Raw genomic sequence first — 18,543 nt, forward strand, 5'->3', positions numbered from 1 at the left:
CTGGGGATCTCACTTCATGTACATTGCTTTTCTAGAGCAATAGCAAGCAAAATTAAATACATAGGGTTTCATATGTCAACTTCACCTTGCTATGGAGCAGCTTAAGACAATTTTACACTAACCAATGATTTCAGGTGCTGCTCAGTACCTTTCAGGGAACAGGGTTTCACGCAACTCCATACTTAGGAAAGGAAAGAGTGGCAATAAATTAGGAAGAGACCAAATCTGAGGAATGGACGTGCCACCACATTTTACCAACAAAACAACAGTTCATTAATGATATTTTAAAGTTGTATTTCCACCAAGTTGTGACATAAGAGAACAACAGTCAGGAAACAGGACGTTCAGCTGGCGTTTCACTGTTCACTCATAAACTGGCAGAGAAAGAAGCAAGAAAAGTCCAGGTTAAGGGCAAAGCATGGTGGTGCTCAACTTGTAATTTCCTGGTTGTTTTCAGGAGAAATGACAATCTTGCTATTTAAATATGTTTTTGACAATGCCATTTCTTTGGGAGAAAGGGTAGCTATGCAATCGGGAATCATTCCCCAGAGAAAGAGGTGACATGAATGTCTACTTTTGTTTTCCTTGGTTTGTTTTAACTCGGTAATAAGAGCCTGGTTGCTGATGCACAAGGCTTTACTGACTTAAAAGTGATGTTCGCATTGTGGCATCAGTGCTTTCCCTGAGAATTTTCAACTTGCAGCAGCGGTAAGAAACCACAGGCCTGATTCCTGAGATGGGTGAAATGGGCCATTACCAGTAAGAGTTGTTGAGGACACCAAAGAGAAACTTGAAGTACGCTGTTAGGTCAGGTATGAATTTTAGGTGTGAATTTTACCCACCTCCTTGAGTATCTATATGTAAAGGCTCTGAAACTAACATGGCCCACAATACCCAGTGTTACCTGAGAATATTAATTCCTCCTCCAGATATGTTTTAAAAAATGGTATTTTCTTTAACAACTCGAAATGTAGCATACACTGCTTCTGATTTCAAGAGAAAATAAATGGTACAAAAGCAAGGAAATTCAAGCTTCAAACCAGTAGTTTTTATAACTTAAAATATTTAATCTCCATGTATCTACCATCTTATCTTTTCATCAATATGTCATCTAGCTAGAGATCATTTCTATCTATATATAAATTACAAATCTATGCACACAATTGGGGTTAGATGACAACAAGAAGTCATCATCTCTGGGTTAGAAACAACACATTAATTTTTTCTTTGTGTTTATATTTTATATTTTTCTGTAATAAAAGTGCTTTGCATCTCTGGCTGGGCGCAGTGGCTCACACCTATAATTCCAGCAATTTGGGAGGCCGAGGCAGGTGGATCACTTGAGGCCAGGAGTTTGAGACCAGCCTGGGCAAAATGGTGAAACTCCGTCTGTATAAAAAATATACAAAAATTAGCCAGGGATGGTGGTGCACGCCTGTAGTCCCAGCTACTCGGGTGGCTGAGGCAGGAGAATCACTTGAACCTGGGAGGTGGAGGTTGCAGTGAGCCGAGATCGTGCCATTGCACTCCAGCCTGGGTGATAGAGTGGGATTCTCTCTCTCTCTCTCTCTCTCTCTCTCTCACACACACACACACACACACACACACACACACAAAGTTTTGCATCTCTAATTATAAGTAACATTTATTTTAAATAAAGCAAGTAAGCAATTTTCTTTAAAACTACAAATCTAACTAAAAAATGAAAAGAGGAGCTGGGAAGAAAGAAAATGGCCTAGGACAGATTATCAAAAGAGTCATAAAATGTTTTCACTAAAGTGGCTGCAGGCAAAATATAATGGTCATTTCCTTATTTAATATACATGTGTTGAGCAATTTATGTCTTCTTGAAGGGCTTGTTCTGGGCATGGGGTTAGAAAAAGGAATAATAAATGGTTCTTACCCTTGAAGTGGTTATATTAATTGGTAAAGATGAATATATGTTGGATTATCAAAGCTCACTCTTGCCCCATCAGTACCTAAAACTTAAGCCCAAAGAGATAGGTGCCTGGCCTTACAAAACTCTACAAAAGAAGTTAACAGAAAGTCATATGAGCCGGGTGCGGTGGCTCACGCCTGTAATCCCAGCACTTTGGGAGGCTGGGGCAGGCGGATCATGAGGTCAGTCAAGAGATTGAGACTTATCCTGGCCAACATGGTGAAACCCCATCTCTACTAAAAATACAAAAATTAGCTGGGCATGGTGGCGCGCACCTGTAGTCCCAGCTACTCAGGAGACTGAGGCAGGAGAATTGCTTGAACCTGGGAGGTGAAGGTAGCAGTGAGCTGAGATCGCGCCACTGCACTCCAGCCTGGCAACAGCGCAAGACTCTGTCTCAAAAAAAAAAAAAAAGAAAAGAAAGTCATGATTCTGTGGACTCCAGAATAGAAAGATTTGATGAGCATAAAAGCAATGGACGAAGTTAACATAAAAAGACTGACAGCTGTGGCTGGGAACGGTGGCTTACGCCTGTAATCCCAGCACTTTGGGAGGCCGAGGCAGGTAGATCACAAGGTCAGGAGATAGAGACCATCCTGGCTAACACAGTGAAACCCTGTCTTTACTAAAAATACAAAAATAAATTGGCCGGGTGTGGTGGCGGGAGCCTGTAGTCCCAGCTACTCGGGAGGCTGAGGCAGGAGAATGGTGTGAACCCTGGAGGAGGAGCTTGCAGTGAGCTGGGATCGCACCACTGCACTCTAGGCTGGACAACAAAGCGAGACTCCGTCTCAAAAAGAAAAAAAATAAGAAAGACTGACATCTTTGCTGTACTTTAATTTCTATGTTTCAAACATCATCTTAAAATTAAAAGACAACAAAGAAAAGTGTTTTCCACCTAAATGGCTAAAGGTTGATCTACTTAATATATGAAGGAGATCGAAATTGAGAAGGAGAAACCACCAGAGGCCCATTTTAAAAGGGATAGATAATTCACATCAAAGAAACTATGACTGGCCAAAAAACATGAAGTATGTTCAAACCCACAAGTCACCATAGAAATTCTAATTAAACCAGCAATTCAATCTTGTTTTGTCCTCTGTCAGATTAATAAATGTGTAAGAAACACTAGTTCAGTAAAAGTACAGAGATGCATGCAAAAATGATAAAACCACCCTCAGGCCGGGGTAATCTTTGCAGGAAAGTGAGGGGGCAATGATCAGGACTTCGAGACTATTCGTAATGTTTTATTTCTTTTGCTGGGTGGTGGGTATATGCGGTTTGACTACATTATTCTCTGGCTTTTCTCTATAACTGAAGGAGTTTGTTTTAAAAAGGAAATAACAAAACATAATATTGCTCAGTACTAGTGCCTGTGATTGTGGCGTGGATTGGCATGGACTTTCTTCAGAGTATCAGGAACATGCACCAAGGGCCTTAAAAATGGCTTTTGAATACGAAAATTAGTTGGGCATGGTGGCACATGCCTGTAATCCCAGATACTCAGGAGGCTGAGGTGAGAGAATCGCTTGAACCCGGGAGGCGGAGGTTGCAGTGAGCCAAGACTGTGCCACTGCACTCCAGCCCGGGCGACAGAGCAAGACTCCATCACAAAAAAAAAAAGGCTTATTTAAGAGCAGTGATGTTTGGCAAAGTATTATTTCTAATAGTAAAATATTTAAAATACCCTAAATGTACAACAAAAGAGGAATAGTACAATAATTATAATACATCTAAGAGCAACTATTAAATGACTGAAATAATATTCTTGACATTTTTATTTATACAAATGAACAAAATATATTATCAAAGCAGGATACAAAGATCTATCTATGTGTACATACATATACATACATAATTATGCACACACACTGTATCATGTCAATACTGTAAAAAGGAGATGTATATGTAATATAAAATTGGGAAATTATCATGTTTTACCAGTGAACTCCAATTTCACATTGCTATTTTCTTCTCTGCCAAAAAGGGATGAATTCTACTCCTTTCCCTCAGAGAAGTTTTCACATATAAGTCGATGTGACTTATATGAAGAATTAGCTGAAATTTAAGAGAGGAGTTTAGGGTCATTTTTTTCACTGGGGAAATATATAGTCACGGAGAAGGCAACTCAACCAGTTATTATGTATAATATATATATATATATATATATATATATAAAATATATATGTAAAAGTCATAACCCCATTAACACTCATTGTTGGCCTATTTCCCCAGATATTTTACAGATACAGTTTTTAGAAAGTATAGACTGTGTTCATAGCATTTTGTATCAGCAGGTTATTTAACCCATTTTGCACCTATGGGTCCTCCAAGCAAGACAGGCACATCAGTATCTTCTTCATAGTGTCTCTTGAGGACAGCCAACAGAAGGGGCCTACAGTATAGAAATACATGCTGTTTGGATATTAATAAATAGTTTTTAGAGGAAGCAAGACCTTCCAAGTCACCAATGATAGCACTGGGTGACAAAGAAATTAGAGAGAAAGATAAAGGAACAGGACTACCTTCTCCTTCGTAAAATCTTGAAATTTTATTCCAGGATATCTGTATAACTATTAACTGAAAAGAGAGGTGTTTGTGGTTGTGTGTGTGTGTGTATTTATGAGCTTCTAAAATTACTTCTAAGTAAAAAAGTGAAAGTACAGGTCTACCAAAACCTTAGCAATAATATAATCCATCTGCTTTTTGCTTTCCAAAATTATTTCCTTTATGATGTTACAATGTGTCGAGTCATTTATCATTAAAGATCAATTTAACTGGAAAAGTAATAATTTGAGGTGATGGGTGGAGGTGGAAGAGGTAGAGGAGAAAACTCAAATTTGCAAACTATCATGTATTTTTCCTAGGTAATCTTGTCAAAGTTTCTTCACTAAAAAGAAATTCAGGCAAAGATCTTTATATGGTATAATTACAAAGGGAAAGTAAGAAACTCCTGAGGATTTTTACTGGTGGGAATAGGCACACGTTGTATTCTATCAAATTACTGCATACTTCACTGATATCCCTTCTTTCCCAAAGCCAAAAGACATTGAATTATTTAGTGGGTTATTAACTACTCAACTATCTGCCAGAGCTGCATGTTACTCAAGTTCTCAGCCCAAGAAGTGACCCCTTTTGAAACAGACAAACACACACGTATGCACCCACATGCAACTCAGTGTTCCAACAGATTTTGTGAGGGGAGCTGATGTCCTAGGCTTGTAATAGGTTTGTAATGGTGGGTTGGAAGTGAAAGAAGCTTTCCTCTACTGTTATCCCAGAAAAATATTTCCTCTTTTTCCCTATTCTCCTTTCAAAGCTAACCTCTCACCCTGTGATCCTGGTTTCAAAGCTAACCTCTCACCCTGTGATCTTGATTTCATTAACCTCTCACCCTGTGATCCTGATTGTCTCCTGCTGACCACTGGCGATCTCACTACTCCCATCTACCATCCATCTCCATCAAATATTCTCCTTTGTCTTCAACCTTTTTTCCAATAATAGACACTTCCTTTGACTTTCCCACTGAAGCTACTACCTTATTTCATTCATTTCCTTTACCATAAAACTACTTGAAAGAGTTGTTTATGTTGGCATCTCTGTTTTCTGGATATGCATTTTCCTGATTTCATGTAATTTGGCTTCAGGCCTTAGTGTGTATGGCACACAATCTGTTGTTGATAGGGTTAGTCATTTCCTCTTAGCATCACCATTGACCTCAGACTATTGAAACAGGGCAGCTTATTTTCGCTCCTCACCCTGTTTGATCTTTCTTCACCCTTTAATATACTCTGCATGAGTGAACTTATCCATTCCCATATTTTCAGATCTGCTCCTATAATTTCAGTTCTCATATAGGTAATGAAAGTCCTGAGCAGATCACTTTCCTTAACTTGACGTCTCCAACTGTGTATTACTAGACTCCTCAAGATCATTATCTTCAAAACTAAACTCATTACAACAAACGAGAAGAATACATGCTCAACATAATGAAGGATATTTATCAGAAACTGACAAATAATATAACTGTAATGATGAAACCCTGGCAACAAAAATAAAACAAGGATGCTTAATTTTATTGTATTACTAATATTCAACTTTGTTTTAGAAATTCCGGCCAAAGCAATAAGATAAGAAAAATAACTAGGATGTAATGTATATTGGCAAGAAAGAGGCAAAAGTATCATTGTTTACCAACAACATAATTGTCTACCTGATAAAACATCACAAAATGAACTGAAAAGCTATGAAAATGAAACCTGTTCAACAAGGTGGGAAATTGTAAAATGCAGTTAATTTAAAAAACACAACAGCTTTTCTATATATTAGCAATAACCAGTTCAAAAAAAAATCTCATTCACCATGGGAATTAAAAGATTTCATTATTAGAAATGTATTTAAAATGTATTAAATGTGTTTCACCTATATGATGAAAACTACAATGCTTCACAGTGGAACATAAAGGAAGGTTTAAAAAGATAAATAGACAAAGTCATGTTTGTAGCTATATGGAAAGATATGCAATAGTAAAGCTATCAATTTCATGTAAATTAATCTATAACTTTAGTATCACTACAATAAAAATCTCTAAGTTTATTTGGGCTAGGGGTAGAATTTAATAAAATGATTTTAAAGCTTAACTGAAAAAAATACACAGGTTTGCCAGAAATTTTGGGAACAAACATGATATAATAAGGAAGGATTATCCTAGAAGATATTAAAATATATACAAGTACAATAATTAAAACAGTGAAGTTCTGGTTTAGAAATAAGCAGATCAACAGAAAAAAATATGTAAAAATATACTTGAATATATATAAGAATTTGTATAATTTAATGTGGCATTTCAAATCAATAGGAAAGCTGGGCCAATATTTAATAAATGCTTGACTAGCACAGACTAATTGGGAGAAAATGAGGTTAAAACCATATTTTTTTTTTGTTCTTTTTTTTTTTTTTTTTTTGAGACAGAATCTTGGTCTGTCGCCCAGGCTGCAGTACAACGGGGTGATCTTGGCTCACTACAACCTCTGCCTCCCAGATTCAAGTGATTCTCCTGCCTCAGCCTCCTGAGTAGTTGGGATTATAGGTGGCTGCCACCATGCCCAGCTAATTTTTTGTATTTTTACTAGAGACGGGGTTTCACTATGTTTGTCAGTCTGGTCTTGAACTCCTGACCTCGGGTGATCCACCCACCTCAGCCTCCCAAAGTGCTTGGATTACAGGTGTGAGCCACCATGCCCAGACTATTTTGTGTTTTAAAAAGACAGGTTGAAAAGAATGTGAGTATGTGTTTATTAAATGTTATAGTGTTGGGTACATGAGTAGCTATTATGTTATTTTTTAAATGTTTAAAATATATCACTATTTACAATTAAAAACTAAAGGATTCCATGAAGCAAGAGATTTATAGATTAGCCTAACTAACTCAGATATAAAACTTACACATTAGAAAATATTATATGAACAAATTGAAAAAAAAGTTTGCATATTGCATAAAAGACAAAAATCTGCAATATATACAAAGTACTTAAAAACAGTACAAAATGTGAATCCCCCACTAGAAAATAAGACAAGAACTGACTTAGGCAATTTTGTAAAAAGAATTTTAATAAAAGGGTCAGAAAATATAAAATTATTTTCAGCTTCTCTGGTAAATAAAGGCTTGAAAATAAGACAATGATGTGTCATTTTAATCTGTCAAATTGTTAAATATTTTTAAGAACTAAGAATACCCAGTGTTAGGTAGGATACAGGGAAACAGATATTTTCATACACTGTTAATATGAGTATAAATTTATATACAACATCCTGAGGGCAGTGTAGCCATATCCTTCAAGAGTCACAAAATGATCACATTCTTAGAGAATTTTATTCCATGGAAATAATCTTGAATGTAAAGTAAAGATATATGTATAAGGATGCTCAATGATAGTTTAATTTTAATTGTTCTCAAATTGGAAATTAATCGAGGATTGATTTGATTTGGGCAGGTAACTAATTTAACCATATACATATATTTATTTATTAGGAGCTCTTATTGCTTTGTACAGAATGGATTGTCAAGGAGCACGAATGGAATCAGCCCAATTAGGCATTGCAAATTGCAAATACCTTATTTAACAGGTTGGTTCTTACTTGTCACTTTTCAATATTTAGACATACAGTATAAAGGTTGTCACCTGAATTTGCCCTAGGTATTTAAATGACTTCAAATGAGTTTCAAATGACTGTGACCTCTTTGAAGGGTTCATGTTAGCATGTTATCATCCTTTGAAAGAATGCTAGTATTTTGTATGCTTACATACAGTTTGCCTTCAATAAACATATGCTAAACAAACAAACCTCTATTATAGCACCTGTTACATTGTGTTTTTGTTGGCCAAGTGTCTGTGTTTCTCTTTGACTGATTGCTCTTTGAGAGCAGGGTCAAGCATTCACTCATCTCTACATCCCTATTACAAAGCACAGTGCCACAAATATAAAAGGTATTCAACAAATGTTTGTTGAATGAAGGAATCAAGAACCATGTTTCTTTCTGCTAAAATGTGTTTTTTAAATATCTATGTTCCAAAACACTAGTCTAAAAATGAAGGCATCTGAAAGTAGGTCTTGGGGTATGGCTTTAATCTTGATGAGAGATACTGAGGCTTCATTGAGACCTACTGAAAAGAGAAGAGAGAAGCAAAAGAAAAACAAAGGAAGAGTTATATATTAGCATTGTGTTAGACTTCTAGACACAGAAATAGATGAGCTAGTGGTCTGTCTAACAGAAGCCATACAGAAAAAAATACCATGCAACGGTCCTTTGCAGTAAGAAAAGGGAAAACATTATTTTGTTTCTTTTATTCCTTCTACTCTTCTTTCTTCATACCCAAGAACCCACTGTAGAACATCTTAGAACCTTTATCCACAGCTTAATCAAGTCCACAGCAGCATTTGCTGCTGTGGTCCTGTCTGAATCTGCAAGTACCAGTTTCCCTGCTCAGATATATTGCACTGGAGTATTTTTTTTCCTTCTTGCTTTTATTCTTTACTGTTTATGCAAGAAAATCCACTAATATGTTTTGGAGAAGATAAACCCATTTGTCCACAAATAGAAAATTCCAAACCAAGAATCTCTAAACCATGGGTTTACAGTAGCCCCATAAGGTTCAATAGTCATTGAAGAGATCTTTATTAACATGCTCTTGAGAGCAGAGTGGTTTTAATCATACTTTTTCATGAAAGTTAATATTAAAACAGAAACATGCCACCTTACTGAGTTGCACTGAGAGTCAGTGGCAAGGGCAGAATGAAAAATGAGGATTTTTCTTTTCTCCTAAAGCAGGAGTTTCCCTGTATAAATTTAATGGCATTAAAAGCAAGTCTAAACTCAAAGCCTCATAGACTTCCAGTTAAACATGGTAGATTGAACATGTGTTTATCTCTTCTTCTTCTCCCAATCCCACCAAAGTAATGAGAATAAAAAAGGAATAACAGTAAAAGACTAAAAAATGCATAAACACACAAGGAAAAGGAAACTGGGAACAAAGACAACAATGGATTAGAAATGTCAACAAATCTTTAAGGAAAAAAAGCCATGATAAGAGTATTAATGGCCTTAGCAGAGCACAGGAAACTGAAATAAGTTTCTGCAGAGGGATGAGAAGGAAACTGACTCTCCCTGCAGGATCTGAAAGAGGCTAAAAATTGGAGGATTGGCCAAAAGTTCGTGGAAAGAGCATTTGGAGCTCTACGTTCTCTCCTCCATCCCTCAAAGCCAGGAGACAACTCCTGTTTCATTTCTTCAGAAGACAGAAGGCTTATTTTAGGAAGTATTTAAGCAGAAGTGACTCTAGATTCAGAGATCCTGGGGCCTGCAATGGAACTGGAGCATTCAGTGAAAGTTTGCAAGCTGGACATTGATGCTCCCCAGGCAAGAAATTACAGGAGGTTTCTCTAGGGAAACTCAACAGTATCCAAAAAGAGAATTATCACTTGGTGGTCTCCAAGTGAAAACAGTCATTCCCTGCCTCATCCTACAGTAGACAAACATACCCAATCAACTTTTTAGTGCCTTGCTCTCGAACACAGCAAGTCAAATAACGGAAGATATTTGGAGGAAGCTGAATCACAGGGACAGAAATAAACTGCAAAAAAAAAGAAAGAACTCAGTCAAAAACAAACAATGCAGAGAACAAAAGAAAAACTTCAAGTAGAAGTAATATTTTTAGAAAGGTAACAGAGGACATTGCCTCTAGAAAACATGAACAGAACATTATACACATATGAACAATAAAAACTAGAATACCACATTCTCAGAATTGTTTAAAAATCAAGTTGAATGGTAGGAAGATAAAATTGAAGAAGTTTCCCTAAAAGTACAATGAAAAGGCAATAGAGGAGAAAAGATAAGAAAATCGGAGAATATATCCAGGCAAGTTCAACATCTAATTAATAAAAAATCTCCAAAAGAGAGAATAAACGAAAACCGAGGTAAACAAATTATCAGATAATTATTTCAGAAAAATTTCCCAGAACTAAGAGACACAAAAACTTCAGATTAAAAGTTTCCAACCAGGTACCCAGCTCAGTGAACGCAAACAGACCCACATGAAGGCACAGCTTTGCAAAATCACAAAATATTGGAATCTTAGAGAGGCTTCTAGATGTTTCCAGAAGGAGAAAAGCAGATCATACAAAGCAGCCGGAACTAGAATGGCATCGATCTTCTCAGCAGCGGCACTGGAAGCTCAAAGACAACAGGGAAGTACCTTAAACAATATGAGGTAAAATAATTTTCAAGCTACAATTCTACACCCACAGTATCGACCTAGTTTGGGGTTGGAATAAAGATATTTTTAGACAGTTAAGTTCTCAAGACATTTACCTCCCAACACGTGTTTTCTGAGGAAGCTACCAGTGAAGTATGCTAACAAAATGAGAGAAGAAACAGACAAGCAAGAAAGCATAAAATCCAGGGAAAGCAATAAAAAAAACTTCAGGAAAAACAAACAAAACCAGGAGAGAGGAAATGGGGCTTTCAAGGTGACGACAAAGGAGTGAGAACAAGAGGAAGTGGTCTTGGAGCAGACCTAGAAAGTAACTGCCCACGCTGGAGTGGAGACATGCGGCCCCCTGAAGTGCACGCTTACATATTGTCCCACAGATCTGACCCGATGGAAGGTTCTACTGGGAAGGTCTTGGAGCATATGGGTAAAATCTCTGAGAAAATTAGGCAGGCGAAAAGATGTGTCAGAAAAGCAATATAACTTTTATGGAATACATTATTATATTCAGCATAAACAGCAAAAAGATATACACTGATGTAGGGAAGATGGGAGGGGGGACAGAGTTGATTCTTACCTACTAAAATAGAAGCCCTTAGATGTATAAAATGGACACAATAAGTAAAAGCAGCATTATTTAGAAATACATAAATAGCAGAAGACATGGGTAAGTGAATGGAAAACAGCCTCCTTTGGGGAATAGGATTGGGGTGGGAGATGGATTATGGGAACTGCTATTGGTAATCATAAGCCTTTTAGTATTACTTGGCTTTTTAAAAGTATATGCCTGCATTACTTTACAAAAATAGAAATTAGTAAACAAGCAAACGTCAGTCTCTGCAAATTGGTCTCTCTGTGAAATTCTCAGATGCAAACGAGATAGGTGACGCGAGCTCTGGGCAGGGATGGAGACGCTGGTCCACATGCTCCTCCGACTCCTCCCTGCAGAGAATACTGAATTCAGGCAGTGTGAGGGACGCTTCCACCAAATTTGTTTCTCTTTAAGGCAGCTGCTTAAAGAGGGAAGGTGGTCCGTGGCCTCGAGGACATCAGGTCACATTGGTTCATGAACTCAGACTTAATTCCCAGTCTCTCGTGAAAGCAGCTCTGATTCCCAGTGGAACTCTTTTTCTTTTACTCAAGCACATGGTTCATTAGACGATTCCTACTCTACGATGGATTCTTTGCCTGCAGCTCTGCTCTAAGTCTTTGAGAGGATACAGATGGAGCCTCTCCTCTGCAGTCTTTCTGGTTTCCCACTTCCTCCCTTCCCACCTTCAGGCTCCTGACTTCAGAGGACCGCCTCTCTTGTTGTCTAGGATCCACGCTCTCTTTTTACTTCTGTCATATTGACATGCTCAGTGACCTCCATGGGGAAGGTATATAATCATGGGAGGATGCATGAGTCCACAATCAATGGATACATTCCTCAATACATAAAGCAATTTGATCACGCATATATTCAAAGATAAACAGCTCTGTTTACAGCCACTTGAAATATTTACATATACCAAAATATAAAACGGCATATAAAAATGCAACACACACACCACTGGTGTGTTCCTTTATGTGTTAATACATTATATAAATACCACATACCTCCTGCCCCCACAACCTATATTAAGCGTAGTACATATGTGCACCCTTCCACATAGGTACCCTAGAACAGTACAGCCTGAACAGACGCTGTTTTTCCTTCCTGACAAACGGGCATGAAATAACAGGCTGACATCTGCCTCTAAAGGTTATTCAAGTCAGCCTGCTACATGTCAAAATTCAAACTGCTCCATCCATCAACGGCAGACCCAAAATGAACGTAGCTTGGAAACTCAGCGGCAAGACAGTAACAGCCCAATTCGAAGTCTGACCTTCGAGGAATGGTGGGGTACGATGGAAAATTATTTCATGCCCTGCACCAAAGCCAACAATAGAATTTGAAGAGATTTTCAGTTAAATTAATTTTAAAGAAAAATCCCCCAGTGTAGCAGTTTAACTCTTAGGGTCACATAAAAGGAGTGCTAAGCATAAGAGATTTTGCTATCTGGAGGCTCCGTCAGCACCTTGTGCAAAAGAACTAAAACAATATTTTAGGCAAAACAGTTTGAAGTCATTTGCACTGTAGCACACACTAAAAGTCTTTATCAGTAAGTGAAGAAATCATCAAGAGATTTAATTCCTCACAGAATTTTTTTGGGAATGGCTATTGGTTAAAATAAAATTGCAAATGAGATCAGCCCTTCAGGATTACAAATATGAATGAACCCTTTTCTGGAGATATTTTTAAGGGTGATGATTTCCCTCAGCTCAATTATCATAAAATGTATGCCAGGAGATTTTATAACCAGTATCCAAAGACAACCACCAATTTAATAAATGAACCAGAATCTGATGCACAAAATTATTTTACCTACTGATGTGGCTACGATATTAGGCACAGCACACCTTTTAAAAAATGCTATATACATTTGCAGTCAATGACATCTTGAACTATGCTTTAAACTCATGTTCCATGAAGGTGAAGTTACCTTTTTCTCTCTGCTGAAGACTGCTTCAAAACTCAACCTGAAAAGTCATCCTAGTGTGTTCCTTCCGAGCAATTCCAGTGTTTCCATTGACATCAAGTCCAGGCTAAAGTTGAGGGAGTGTTTCTTACATTTGTTAACAGAATGCTCACTCTGCCAAGTCTTTTCTCCCCACCGTATCTCTTCAGCACCTCTTTTCTCTGTAGTCCTTTGACTGGTAATGAGCTTAAATTCTCCCAAAAACAAAAGCCCTTTTTCAGTTCTATCTCCCTCTTGAGTCATACCCCATTCCACCCTTCTCTCCTTGCTTGCATATTTCTTGAAAGGATAATCCACACCATCTCCTTCTAAGTCTTCTACTCAAAACAGTATTGCTATCAGCTTTTGTCCTTATCATCACATTGAAAATAACAACCTCTTAATTGCCACATCCAATGGCCTGTTTTTAGACTTAAGGTTCATTCATCTTTCTGCAGGATGGACCACACACCCCATCCACCCACCACAAACAACATGTCTATTTCTCTTTTTCTGCTTGGTCTTTGACCTAGGTGGTTCTGGAATTCTGATTTAATCCCTTTCTCTCCGGTTTATACCCATTCTCTCTTGGTTAAGGCATTAAAATGCAAACACATGTTGATGACTTCCGAGTCCTCCTTTCCTTGCTCTGAAGCTCCAGGGCATAGTTCCCTGCACATCTCCCTTTGGTTATCTCCCAGCTACTGTAAACTTAAGACATCCCCAGACTGCATTTCCTTTCCATTCTCTAACCACCCACCGGTTGAAAGCAGCAGTTTCCAGCTGGGCACGGTGGCTCATGCCTGTAATCCCAGCACTTTGGGAGGCAGAGGGGGGCAGATTACCTGAGGTCAGGAGTTCGAGACCAGCCATGGTCAACACGGTGAAATCCCATCTCTACTAAAAGGGCAAAAATTAGCTGGGCCTGGTGGCGGGTGCCTGTAATCCCAGCTACCCCAGAGGCTGAGGTAGGAAAATTGCTTGAACCCAGGAGATGGAGGATGCAGTGAGCCGAGATTGTGCCACTGCACTCCACCCTGGGCGACAGAGCGAGACTCTTTCTCAAAACAAAATAAAACAAAACTAAACAAAAAAACCTCAGCAGTTTCCAGTATAAGACACATCCCTGCACATCTCCAGGACTGCACGCATTACCCTCTACAAAGCACCCTCAACTCCTCCAAATAGGTAGAGGCTCCCTTTTCTGTGTGTTCTGCGGCACCTCACACAACTTCTCATGTCATTGGAAGAAGTGAGCCCCTGTGTGTGACTTCCCCCTCAAAGCCACAACATATTTAATGTTGTTCTTCATAGAAGCCACAGCAGAGGCTGACACGAAGATTCTCAAGACCTATCTGATGAAGAAATGAATGCATTGATGAGGAAATAGTGCTGAATACCTGATTCACTGGCATGACTGAACACAGTTTAGGGGAGGCAGGAGAGAGGAATGGGGTCCATGTTAAATTTGCCAGAGCATCTCATGGGACTTACAGTGATGGATTTTAGTCAAGCAACCAGATATTACCAGGGAAAGCTGGTGAACAGAAAGGCTTTCACTGCTAAAAATCCTGGTTAATTTTCTAACAATAAATTTTTTAAAATTTTTCTTGGGGATTCCAAATGTAGCATTTAAAGGACCATCTTTTTAAATCATTATTATTTTTTATTTTTATTGAGACGGAGTCTCGCTCTGTCACCCAGGCTGGAGTGCAAGTGGCATGATCTCGGCTCACTGCAAGCTCCACCACCCGGGTTCATGCCATTCTCCTGCCTCAGCCTCCCGAGTAGCTGGGACTACAGGCGCCCGCCGCCACACCCGGCTAATTTTTTGTATTTTTAGTAGAGACGGGGTTTCACCATGTTAGCCAGGATGGTTTCCATCTCCTGACCTCGTGATCTGCCCGCCTTGGCCTCCCAAAGTGTAAAGGACCATCTTTAACGACAAAATTTATTCTAAGCATTTAAATCTTTTACCTAGTTAGCCCTTAATAAATATGTTGATGATGAGAGGATTATACATATGTCATGTTTCCCCTTCTTTATAAAAATACGTAGCATGGATAGTTTAACAAGCATTTATTAATAATGCTTTGAGAACATTTAATCGAGAATTTCTTAATGTAGAAAAATTTGAAAAGCATAAAAAGCCATTTGGTTTAATTTCCTGGCTTGTAAAAATAAAGTGGCTAAATGACATGACTTTTGGGGTCCTTCCAGGTCCAACATTTTGGTCCCATGATTTCATTTCTTTCTTTCTTAATCTTATCAGCCTTGGAGGTGATGGTAACTGTACAGGGACGACCATATCTTAGTCTTGTGTAGCTCATTCTCCTAAAGCCAAACCCTAGGAATTCTTAGTGTTGCAGATGTGAGGAAATGAGAATTCTCATGCTTTGCTGATGACAGTCTGAAAATCGATATAGCCTTTTGGATGGGAAATTTTGAAATGTGTTTCAAAAGACTAAAAATGTGACCATATACATTGATCAAAATTTTCTCAGATTTTATTCTAAAGAAATAAGTGAACTGGTGAACAAATATATTCATTATAACATTATTCATAACAGTAATGAAATTGGGAACAGTAACAACTTCCAACATGAGGTGATAGATTAAAGAAAGTAGGATGTGTCTTTACAATGGAATGCTATGATAGATTGATACACATTTACTGATATGTAAAGACAGTTGCAAAATCAAAACTACTTAGAGATGAGACAATGAGGGTACCCACCTCATAATCTAAGATATATGACCAAAATGATACACAGATCAAAATTTATTATTTATATTGTATTTCATAGAAAATAAGAAAGAATGACAAATTAACTGAACATTCAATTTAAAAAGATAGAAAGAGAAGAGAAAACAATAATGATAACTCCAGAGAAAGCAGATTGATGAAAATAAAAATACACTAAATTTGATAAAATAGATGAAAAGATCTGTAAGATACATAAATGTCTCCTAAAAAAGAAAGGAAAGACAATTAATATTAGGAAATAGAAAAGGCACTTATCTGTTCATATGCAGGAGCCAAAATGAGATGTTACTTACAAGGTACTTGAAAGAAGTAGCTTGTGCAATTGTATACTGACAAACTTCGAAACCTCCGTGAAATGAAAGATTGTCTAAGAAAATAAATACATTTTTAAGTTGGCTCAAAAATAAACAAAAAATTTCAATAGACAATAATCATATGGGAAATTGAAAAAGTTGTAAAAGATCTAGACTGCCAAATGCCTCAAACTCAGCCAGTTTTATAAGTGAGCTCGTCTCAGAGGGATTGTATAATTTATCCTCCAAACTGGAACCCTTTGGAGAGTGAAAGAACGTAATTACGCAGGGAGAATCTGAGAAACAGGAGATGTTTCAGGCGAATTAGGACAAATGGCAGTACTCGTTGTGCCAACCTTTTTTTTTTCTTTTTTTTTTTTTGAGACGGAACTCTGTTGCCAGGTTGGAGTGTGTGGCGCGATCTCGGCGCACTGCACGGTCCGACTCCCAGGTTTACGCCATTCTCCTGCCTCAGCCTCTGGAGCAGCTGGGACTACAGGCGCCTGCCACCACAGGCAGCTAATTTTTTGTATTTTTAGTAGAGACGGGGTTTCACCGTGTTAGCCAGGATGGTCTCAATCTCCTGACCTTGTGATCTGCCGGCCTCAGCCTCCGGTTGTACCAACTTTTAAAGGATAAATAATTCTAAGTGATATAGTTTGCATTTGTGTCTCCACCCAAATCTCATGGCAGATTGGAGCAGGGGTGTGGTGAGAGGTGGCTGGATCACGGGGGCAGATTCTCCTTTGCTGTTCTCGTGATAGTGAGTTCTCGTCAGATCTGATGGTTTAAAAGTATGCGGCACTTACCGCTTCACTCCCTCTCTCCTACTGCCATCTTAAGACATCTTTCACCTTCCGCCATGATTGTTAAGTTTCCTGAGGCCTCCCAGTCATGCTTCCTGTTAAGCCTGTGGAACTGTGAGTCAATTAAACTTGTTTCCTTCATAAATTACCCAGTCTCAGGTAGTTCTTTATAGCAGTGTGGAAATAGACTATACATTAAAGTTATGAAAACTGTATCATAGTTTAGAAAGAGATTAAAGATTTTCCAGTTTAGAGTCAAGAAAAGCAGAAGAGAAAAAAAAACAAAAAAGAAGGAAGAAAATTCTATGCCTACTGATGCATGTTCCCAAATAAACAAAATGTATCTATTATACACATACCTAAATGTCAATTATAAATCAGTAAGAAAAACCCAAATGAAAAAATGGGTCAAAATATGCAAAATCAGTTTATAGAAAATAAATACAAACAAACCATAAGCATATAAAACATACGCTCAATACAACTGATGCATAAACAAAAAAAAATTTTAACTGATCTGCTTAGAAAAATGTTAATAATATTAAACGTCAAAAAGTGTGGTCTTTCATGCACTGTTGATGAGAATGTAAATTGGGGCTACATTCTGGAGGATCATTTGGCAATTATTTACCGAAATTTAAAATACACACACCCTATGATACACTTATTTCCCCTGCTAGGAATCTATACTACAGAAACACTTGAGCAAATGTGCAGGATATATCTATATGGATGCCGACTGATGCATTATTTTAATTATAACGAATAACTAGAAATAATCTAAATTACTCATTTTTCAGGTAATGAAACAGACTCAGAGAGATTAAATGATTTGTCAAAGTCCACATTATTATCAATTGGGTTTATAGGACTAGAAAAAGCTGAGCTTTAAAAAACATAGAACAGTTTGCTAATTGTAGTTTTTAATTTTTATTTTTTTTCTGAGATAGAGTTTCACTCTTGTCACCCAGGCTGGAGTTGCAATGGCCCAGTCTCGGCTCACTGCAACCTCGGCCTCCTGGGTTCAAGTGATTCTCCTGCTTCAGCCTCCTGAGTACCTGGGATTACAGACGTGCACAACCATGCGCAGCTAATTTTTGTTTGTTTGTTTGTTTTGTTTTGTTTTTTTAGTAGAGACTGGATTTCACCACGTTGGCCAGGCTGGTCTCAAACCCCTGACCTCAGGTGATACACCCGCCTTGGCCTCCCAAAGTGCTGGGATTATAAGTGTGAGCCACCGTGCTCACCCCAGTTCGCTAATTTTAAAATAATATTATAATTTGCTTTGCCCCATTGATGGACAATTGATAGTCTAAGGTTTCCACAGTTGTTTATAATCTCTTGATTAAAAATATCTTAATTTCTCTGCACCAATCAGCTCTTTTCCTTCAAAATCACTTCCACCCTTGGGATGGATAACTTTGCCC

The 18,543-nt window shown here is 38.0% G+C and overlaps 1 protein-coding gene and 1 long non-coding RNA gene across 2 annotated transcripts in view; both read right to left on the reverse strand.

The window, feature by feature from the left end:
- ZFHX3 (zinc finger homeobox 3) overlaps positions 1-18,543 on the reverse strand; it is a 1,109,046-nt gene that overhangs the window by 847,462 nt on the left and 243,041 nt on the right. The window lies entirely within an intron of this gene.
- Positions 15,143-18,086, reverse strand: LOC124903717 (uncharacterized). The gene is made up of 3 exons (XR_007065113.1): positions 16,899-18,086; positions 16,311-16,384; positions 15,143-16,220 (listed from the first exon to the last, which is right to left on the reverse strand). It is a non-coding gene; the product is annotated as an uncharacterized LOC124903717 (long non-coding RNA).

This window comes from Homo sapiens, chromosome 16 (genome assembly GCF_000001405.40).
Source record: "Homo sapiens chromosome 16, GRCh38.p14 Primary Assembly".
Lineage (NCBI taxonomy): Eukaryota > Metazoa > Chordata > Mammalia > Primates > Hominidae > Homo > Homo sapiens.